This window comes from Homo sapiens, chromosome 1 (genome assembly GCF_000001405.40).
Source record: "Homo sapiens chromosome 1, GRCh38.p14 Primary Assembly".
Classification (NCBI taxonomy): domain Eukaryota; kingdom Metazoa; phylum Chordata; class Mammalia; order Primates; family Hominidae; genus Homo; species Homo sapiens.
In genome coordinates this window covers 145,910,055-145,919,012 of record NC_000001.11, presented here as the reverse complement: position 1 = coordinate 145,919,012, position 8,958 = coordinate 145,910,055, and the positions used below count along the sequence as shown (strand labels likewise).

Here is an 8,958-nt window from a genome sequence, read left to right as displayed (position 1 = left end):
ACTGCGGCGCTTTCTCGCCCCGCCCCGGCCCCTGCAGGCCCCGCCCTTGGTCATGAATATTTAAAGAAGAAGGTGCCGCTGGAGGCGTGCTAGGGAGTAGGGGTCGTCTGATAAGGGGAAGCTGTGACGCAGACACGCACAGTAATACACAGATGGAGGCTCAAAAGACACGAGTTTCGCGTCCTGAAATTCCGCTTCCAGGGCCAAGCTTTCTTTTCTGATACTGTTTGTCCCTCGCGAGGCACCGTTGGGTCGCGCAGTAGGCGTGACTAGGGGCGGGAAGTGGGGCGGGAGCAGGGCCGCGGAGCCTGGGCTGCGGCTGTCATGGACGCCTGGGTCCGCTTCAGTGCTCAGAGCCAAGCCCGGGAGCGGCTGTGTAGGTGCGGCCCGAATAGGAATGGGGGTGGGGCGGGGGAGGGATGGACAGAGGAAGACTCTAGTGAGGCGAAGTCAGTTTAGGCTACAGGGGGGTCAAGAAGGGTCAACTCCGGCTACGGGGGCCCGAACGGACCGTGAGGCGCAGATTTGAGCCGCTGTTGAGATGATTCCTTTCCGTTCGCGGAAGAGATGGGGAAACTGAGGCATGAGTGGGCCAGCGGGGAGGCCGCTCAGGGTTGCTGTGTCCACATAAGACCGACAGTGTCCTCACTGGGCGGTGATGGAATGAGGAGCATTCGCCCCACGGTGGATAGCCCCAGACTCTGCCCCCAGAGCTGAGGAGGCACTCCCAGTTTCCGTGTCCCCACACCGTGCTGCCATTCGGGAACTCCCCTGCCTCCGCCCTGGCGTTTGGTCTCCATTCAGCTAGAGGGCCTTGAAATCTCTCAGTTCACCTATTCTGAGGAATAAAATGCCCTCCAACTGTCTGCCTCCCCCTCATCGATCACGTACATGCTCACGCTGATGTGCTTGTGATGGACCCCTGCGGCCTGCACTGGCCCCTTCAGGCCTCATCATTGTCAAATCTCTAATTTGCTCAACATTCAATAGTGCTCCCCACCCCTTTCTAGACTCTTTTTTCTCCTTATGCCTTTCCCTTCCTCTGGCCTGGAGAAATGGTGAGATATGGGCATGGAGGAGGAAGGGGAGTGTTCTCAAACTGGGAAAGGGGGAAGTCTGTCTGTGCCTTTTGGAAGATAGTTTTGAGCGGAAGGTTAGGGAGGTCTCCACCTTACCTTGCCTGCCCTCTCCTCTAGGGCCGCCCAGTATGCTTGCTCTCTTCTTGGCCATGCGCTGCAGAGGCATGGAGCCAGTCCTGAGTTACAGAAACAGATTCGACAACTGGAGAGCCACCTGAGCCTTGGAAGAAAGCGTAAGTAACTCTGTCTTTCCTTTTATCCCCCAACCTTTCCTCCATCCCCAGCTCACCTTCCTTTGTCCCTCCTTCCTGTACCCTCTCTGTTCTTCTTTCTCATTTGGCTCTGCACTTACCCTCTGCATGAGTCCAGTTGAGATAAGAGAGCAGGGGTATGGAAGTAATTAGGCGGACTGGAGAGAATGGGTCAAGTTTGAGAAAACTAAACTGGCACAAAAATTAAATTTGAAATTGAAAAATGGACTGTTTCTGCTCTTTATTTTTTATTTTTTTGAGACAGAGTCTCTCGTCCAGGTCAGAGTGCAGTGGCGCAATCTTGGCTCACTGCAACCTCTGCCTCCCAGGTTCAAGCAATTCTCCTGTCTCAGCCTCCTGAGCAGCTGGGACTACAGGTGCCCACCACCATGCCGGGCTAATTTTTGTATTTTTAGTAGAGATGGGGTTACACCATGTTGGCCAGGCTGGTCTCAAACTCGTGACCTCAGGTGATCCACCCACCTCGGCCTCCCAAAATGTTGGGATTACAGGCTTGAGCCACCATGCCCAGCCTGTTTCTGCTCTTTAAAAAAATTGTCATTATTATTGCTCAACTTTTGCCCTCTTGCTTTCTCTGTTTCTGTTTCTTGTTATCTGCCTCTCCACTTACAAATCCTTGCTTTCCCTTTCTAATCTCCACAAGTTCTACGCCTGGGTAACTCAGCAGATGCCCTTGAGTCAGCCAAAAGAGCTGTTCACCTATCAGATGTTGTCCTGAGATTCTGCATCACTGTTAGTCACCTCAATCGAGCCTTGTACTTCGCCTGTGACAATGTCCTGTGGGCTGGAAAGTCTGGACTGGCTCCCCGTGTGGATCAGGAGAAGTGGGCCCAGCGTTCATTCAGGTTTGATATCCTGTTCTCCTTTAAGATTTTTTTTTGTAGCCTCTATATTGCATAGCTTGTCTTATATGAGGGAAAGATATCTTAGGATCTTTCCAGAGTATATAAGTCTTGATCAGTCACTTGGCTTCCAATCACTTAGATCTTAAACTATCGGAGAATATCAAATGGGGAGAGATGGAAGACAGATGCTCTTCCATAATGAATGACTAATATTGTGCAAGGTAAGATATTATATCACTTTAATTGTGCTTCTATACCACAGGTTATTCCCCCTCACTACCTGCTTACTCATTCATTCCAAAGATATTTATTAGATGCTTACTGTGGCGCAGGGGATAAAGCAAAGAGCTAAACAGATAATGTGCCTGCTCCCATGAAGCTTCTAGTTTAGTGAGGGAGTTAGATACTACAATGAATAACTTCTCATATATATTTGTGGAAAAGTATGCGGTATTATGAAAGAATATCACAAGGGGAGCTAATTTAGATTGGAAAATCAGGAAAAAACTCTTTGAGAAAGTAATATTTTAGCTCAGACCTGATGTCTGAGTAGGAGGAGTTAGACAAAGCCAACAGTAGCAGAAAAGACATTTCCAAACAGAGAAAATTGCACATTCTAAGTAAGGCTTTGAACTAAGAAAGACTTAAGGGAATTAGAGAAATAGAAAGAAAGCCAGTGTGATTGACAGTATTGAGTCCATCAGTTCAAATTTGAGAGATAGACAGGCACCAGATCTTTCATACAGGGCCTTTTAGGCAATGTTAATGTTTGTTTTATTTTATCCTACAATGGGACATTATTGAAGGATTCTGAGCAGGGAAATGACATGATTCAAATTGTGTTTAAAGGACATCTCTTTTTGAGATGTTGAAAATGGATTGCAGGCCGGGCGCAGTGGCTCACGCCTGTAATCCCAGCACTTTGGGAGGCCGAGGTTGGGGGGATCACGAGGTCAGGACTTCAAGACCAGCCTGGCCAACGTGGCAAAACCCCGTCTCTACTAAAATTACAAAAATTAGCCAGGTGTGGTGGCGGGCACCTGTAATCCCAGCTACTCGGGAGGCTGAGGCAGGAGACTCGCTTGAACCCGGGAGGCAAAGGTTGCAGTGAGCCGAGATCGTGCTATTGCACTCCAGCCTAGGTGACAAGAGCAAGACTCCATCTCAAAAAAAAAAAAAAAAGAAAAGAAAAGAAAAGAAAATGGATTGCAGTGGGTCAAGAGAGGAGGAGATGCCCTAATACGAGCAAGAGATGACGTTGGCTTGGACAAAGGAGGTAGCTGACAATAAAGGTAGAGAGAAATATGATGTGGGAGTAAAATTCTCTAACATATTATCTGTATTGTTTTTCGTTTTCCTATGATTGTACTTTTTCATTATATTAACCTTGCTTTTCCCTTCATCTTTCTCAGTGATTTACAACTTTAACATGGCTTATGATGTATGAGGGGTGGGAGCAGAGGCATGGCTGGAGCAGTATGGAAAAGCAACTCCCTAAAGGAGTCTATATGTTATATTTATTCATTTCATCCAACAGATACTTACTGAGCTCTTACTATATGGTAGGCACCAGTGTACATACAGGGATACAGTGGTTAAAGATAAACAAGGCCGGCCAGGTGCGGTGGCTCATGCCTGTAATCCCAGCACTTTGGGAGGCCAAGGCGGGCGGATCACCTGAGGTCAGGAGTTTTGAGACCAGCCTGACCGGCATGGAGAAACCCCGTCTCTACTAAAAATACAAAATTAGCCGGGTGTGGTGGCGCATGCCTGTAATCCCAGCTACTCGGGAGGTTGAGGCAGGAGAATCGCTTGAACCCGGGAGGCAGAGTTTGTGGTGAGCCGAGATCGTGCCATTGTACTCTAGCCTGGGCAACAACAGTGAAATACCGTCTCAAAAAAAAAGAAAAGACAAACAAGGCCTCTGCTCCTCTGGAACTTACCTTGTAATGGGATGAGATAAACATAAATAAACAATAAATTAAAATATCAGATACTGGTAAATGTTATGCAGGAAATTAAAACAGTGTTATGGAGTAGAGAGTAACTGACTCAGTGCTTTAGATTTAGGGATAAGGGAAGGCGTCTCCGAAGAGGTGATACTTAAGCTCATACCTGAAGAGCAAGAAAGAGCTAGCTATGTGAGGGTTTTGGAGGGAGAATATTCCAGGTGGAGGGAGAATATTCCAGGTAGAGGGAATAGGTAGTGCAAAGGTCCTAAGGCAAGAACAAGCTTGATGGGATTAAAATGTAGAAGGAAACCAACATGGTTGGAGCATAATGATTGCAGGAAAGAATGATACAAGGTAAAGTTAGAGGGGTAGGGACCAGATGTTGAGTCTGTAAGCCTCTCTAAGGTATTTATATTTTATTATGAATGTGACAGGAAGAAAACCATGGAGAGCTGTGGTTTGTTTATTTGTTTTTGGTTTTTTTTTTTTTTGAGATGGAGTCTTGCTCTGTCGCCCAGGCTGGAGCGCAATGGTGCAATCTCAGCTCACTGCAACGTCCATCTCTTGGGTTCAAGTGATTCTGCTGCCTCAGCCTCCTGAGTAGCTGGGATTACAGGCACGCGCCACCACACCCAGCTAATTTTTGTATTTTTAGTAGAGACAGGGTTTCACCACGTTGGTCAGGCTAGTCTCCAACTCCTGACCTCATGATCCACTTGCCTCCACCTCCCGAAGTGCTGGGATTATAGGCGTGAGCCACCACGCCTGGCCAACCATGGAGAGTTTTAAGAAGGGAAGTAATGATGTGATTTATGTTTATGCTAGCTATTATATGAAAATAGATTGTTGGGGGTGGGGGCAACAATGGCCACAGTGAGACCAGTTAAAACATTAAAGCAGAAGTCCAGACAAGAGATGTTAGTGGCTTAGAGTATGGCAGTGCGGTGTGATAGAGAGATGTGGTTGGTTGGGTTCAGGATATACTTTGAAGGTAGTACAAGTTATTGAGTACAGACCACCATTGTCAGATTGGATTACAAATAAAAAACATGGATTTTTTACTGAAGAAATTTATAATTTAACACATTTGGCAATTACTTAAACCTCTGGGCCTCTAAAGGAATAGGGATTGGATTTAGATCACCTTTAATATGTTTGAGTCTCTGAGACATCTGAAATTTGTTCTTTCAAAACAAGTTTGCCTTGTTATAGGTCAAGTTGAGAGAGAGATGGAGAGTGTGTGTGTGTGTGTGTGTGTGTGTGTGTGTGTGTTGCCAAGTGGAAAATGAAATTTGAGATTGACCTTGGAAGATTTCATGATGCTCATGGAGTTTAAACCAGGATCTTAAGGTGCACATAAACATGTATTAGTTACAGAATGTTGGGAGGACTTTGTTTCTTCATTTTTATTGGGACATAATTGACAAATAGAAATTACATATATTTAAGGAGTTATAGCTCGATGTTTGTACATGTACGTTGTGACATGATCACCACAGTCAAGCTAATTAACATATCCATCACCTCACATAATTACCTTTTTTCTTTTATGGTAAGAACACTTAAGATCTACCTTCCTGGCAGATTTCAAATATACAATACAGTATTGTTAACTATAGTCACAATGTAGTACATTAGATCTCCAGAACTTACTCATCTTGCATAACTGAAACTTATACGCTTTGACCAGTATCTTCCCATTTCCCTCACTCCCCAACCCCTGGCAACCCCCATTCTATTCTGTGCCCCTATGAGTTAGCCTTTTTTTTTTTTTTTTGAGACAGAGTCTTGCTTTGTTGCCCAGGCCGGAGTGCAGTGGTGAGATCTCGGCTCACTGCAACCTCTGCTTCCTGGGTTCAAGCAATTCTCATGCCTCAGCCTCCCAAGTAGCTGGGATTACAGGTGCTGGCCACCACAACTGGCCAATTTTTGTATTTTTAGTAGGGACGGGGTTTCACCATGTTGGCCAGGCTGGTCTTAAACTCCTGACCTCAGGTGATCCACCTGCCTTGGCCTCCCAAAGTGCTGGGATTACAGGCATGAGCCACCACGCCCGGCCTTATTTTAGCTTCCACCTATAAGTGAGATTATGCAGTATTTGTCTTTCTGTGTCTGGCTTATTTTGCTTAGCATAGTGTCCTCGATGGAGGACATTTCTAATAGGGGTAATAGCATTCACTTTACTTCTGATCTAATGTGTAATCTCTTTGCTACAGGAAAAGAAAATGTTAAAATGTGATGTTGGATATGTTAAGTAGGTATACATGCCCTTACTGACCCTTTTGCTCTGTGTATCAGGTACTATTTGTTTTCCCTCATCATGAATTTGAGCCGTGATGCTTATGAGATTCGCCTACTGATGGAGCAAGAGTCTTCTGCTTGTAGCCGGCGACTGAAAGGTTCTGGAGGAGGAGTCCCAGGAGGAAGTGAAACTGGGGGACTTGGGGGACCAGGGACTCCAGGAGGAGGTCTGCCCCAACTGGCTCTGAAACTTCGGCTGCAAGTCCTGCTCCTGGCTCGAGTCCTTAGAGGTCATCCCCCACTTCTGCTAGACGTGGTCAGAAATGCCTGTGATCTCTTCATTCCTCTGGACAAACTAGGCCTCTGGCGCTGTGGCCCTGGGATTGTGGGGCTTTGTGGCCTCGTGTCCTCCATCCTGTCTATTCTCACCCTAATCTATCCCTGGCTACGACTCAAGCCCTGACCTTCCGGTACAGGATAAGGAGGGGACCTGAATTGGTGAGATGGAATCTTAGATCGTCCCCCATGTGCCAGCCTCATTCGAATTCTACTCTTTGGTTAAAGTTAGAAATTCAGAGATTTAGGGGTGGAGGAAGAGCTTTGGGGAAGATGAGGTAAGGAAAGATGACTCGTGAAGTTAATAGGATGTCTCTAATTTCTAGATGTGCCTGAGCTTCTGTTCTTTTCCTCTTTCTTTGTGTCTCTCTTGAATATATTTACTTTGTGTCTCTTAACTCTGTTTAAGGTTCTGTGTCTATGCATCTCTCTCTTTCTTTTTTCAACCTTCTCATTCTCCTATCCAGGGATTTAATCAGCAGAATTACTTTTTGATAGGGGAGGTATAAGGTTTGGCCTGTAAGGTTCTAACTGCCTTCTTTTTTCTCACAGAGGTGGCTTATGGCAGATTTTTCCTCCTTCAAACTCCAAACATAATTTTTAAGACTATGTGCCAGTGGACTCTTCCCTTATATCTCTGCACCACAAGTTGTTGGATGTTTCCTCTTCCTCCCTTATGTCTACCTCACCAACCTCGCTCATCATTTGGCCCTTATCCTTCCTTGTACACCTACCTTCAGATTTCTGCTTACACTTTGATTTCAGAGCTTTATTCCCCAGTCTGTTCTTACTCCTTTGTCGCTTATCCAGAATGATGCTATGTGTAGCATCTTGCTGTAAATCCTGTACAATGATTCTGTGTAAATAGCTGTGGCCTATGCCAATAATGAAGAGCAAGCCTTTCAGGTAAGCAAATTAAAGTTCAGTTTGCTCATCGACATTTGGTCTGGTCCCTCATTTTTTGGTAATTTGAGGCCCCTATTCCTGTCACTGTGGTTTGGGTTTTTCTCGGGATTAGCCACTAACATCACCCACATTATTTTTCTTGAGCACCTACAGTATGTAAAGCAACATACTTAGTGGGCATCCAAAAATCTAAGAAGCTCCACACTCCCAACTTTAAGAAGTTTATAACCTAGCTGAGGAGTTGGGGTGGCAGAGGAGTGGTCTAATACTAAAGTTATTGTCCTGGCTCCACAAAGCACATCTCATACCAGTTCAGATATAATCCCTCTAAGAAGCAGAATGCCATATGACAGCATAGGCTAAGAGCCAAGGACAGAACCAAGTGGAGTGGGGCTGGTAAGGATTTGGAGCTGTGTCTTCACAAGTTGAGACTCCCCTGGGTGGGTAGGGAAATGATACCACTGCTATCAGCTCTTTCATTTTCCATATTCCAGGTTGAGATAAATAAGGTTAGGAAGTGAATCTATCGGCCAGGCGTGGTGGCTCACGCCGGTAATCCCAGCACTTTGGGAGGCCGAGGCAGGTGGATCTCTTAAGGTCAGGAGTTCAAGACCAGCCTGGCCAACATGGTGAAACCCTGCCTCTACTAAAAATAAAAAATTAGCCAGGCATGGTGGCATGTGCCTGTAGTCCCAGCTACCTGGGAGGCTGAGGCATGAGAAATGCTTGAACGTGGGAGACAGAGGTTGCAGTGAGCCAAGATTGTGCCACTGCACTCCAGCCTGGGTGACAGAGTGAGACTCTGCCTTAAAAAAGAAAAAAAAAAATCTGAATCTATCTCCTATCTCCCAGCTGGGTGCAGTGGCTCACTTTGGGAGGCTGAGGTGGGAGGATTCCTTGAGTTCAGGAGTTCAAGACCAGCCTGGGTAACATAGTGAAACCCTGTCTGTATTCTCAATATAAATAATTTGTCTAAAACTTTTAAACAAAAGTTTAAGATTCTTTTCTTATAAAAAAGAATCCATCTCCCACTCCTGTTCCAAATTTGAGGAAAGCATTATTGACCTGGCAACAATAAACAGTAGAAAAAAAGAAATAGCAGAAATGGGCAAAAAAATATGTTCTCTGGATATAGAGATGAGGCCTCCAGGGGGCAGCACCAAGGCAGAGAAATAGACTAAGATCGCTCAGTGTTTTCCTTGGTCTGGGGCTCCCCACAGTTCCCCACCATCACTCCTCCCATTCCTTCCAACTTTATTTTTAGCTGCCATTGGGAGGGGGCAGGATGGGAGGGAAAGTGAAGAAAACAGAAAAGGAGAGGGACAGA

General features: G+C 45.8%; 1 protein-coding gene across 5 annotated transcripts, besides 3 other annotated features; it reads left to right on the top strand.

Annotated features, from left to right (window-relative positions):
* Window positions 49–596: an enhancer, noted in NCBI's record as "H3K27ac-H3K4me1 hESC enhancer chr1:145516125-145516672 (GRCh37/hg19 assembly coordinates)". NCBI's record gives its function as "activates a minimal SCP1, AML or CMV promoter by ChIP-STARR-seq in naive H9 embryonic stem cells {active_cell/tissue: H9 hESC(naive)}" and the evidence as "EXISTENCE:reporter gene assay evidence [ECO:0000049][PMID:30033119]".
* Window positions 151–250: an enhancer, noted in NCBI's record as "active region_1615". NCBI's record gives its function as "activates an Ori minimal core promoter by ATAC-STARR-seq in GM12878 lymphoblastoid cells {active_cell/tissue: GM12878}" and the evidence as "EXISTENCE:reporter gene assay evidence [ECO:0000049][PMID:35858748]".
* Window positions 296–7,665, top strand: PEX11B (peroxisomal biogenesis factor 11 beta). 5 transcript variants are annotated; one of them, NR_073491.2, is made up of 4 exons: window positions 296–376; window positions 1,197–1,312; window positions 1,995–2,196; window positions 6,447–7,663. NR_073491.2 is itself a non-coding variant. In NM_003846.3 (4 exons), exons 1-4 carry the CDS (start codon window positions 325–327, stop codon window positions 6,850–6,852), a joined length of 780 nt encoding a protein of 259 aa, NP_003837.1. In that variant the 5' UTR covers window positions 296–324; the 3' UTR covers window positions 6,853–7,663. The 5 variants fall into 5 exon arrangements, 2 of the variants coding, with proteins under 2 accessions (NP_003837.1, NP_001171724.1); NR_073492.2 differs by having other exon boundaries at window positions 296–380; window positions 1,207–1,312; NM_003846.3 differs by having other exon boundaries at window positions 296–380.
* Window positions 597–1,143: an enhancer, noted in NCBI's record as "H3K4me1 hESC enhancer chr1:145516673-145517219 (GRCh37/hg19 assembly coordinates)". NCBI's record gives its function as "activates a minimal SCP1, AML or CMV promoter by ChIP-STARR-seq in naive H9 embryonic stem cells {active_cell/tissue: H9 hESC(naive)}" and the evidence as "EXISTENCE:reporter gene assay evidence [ECO:0000049][PMID:30033119]".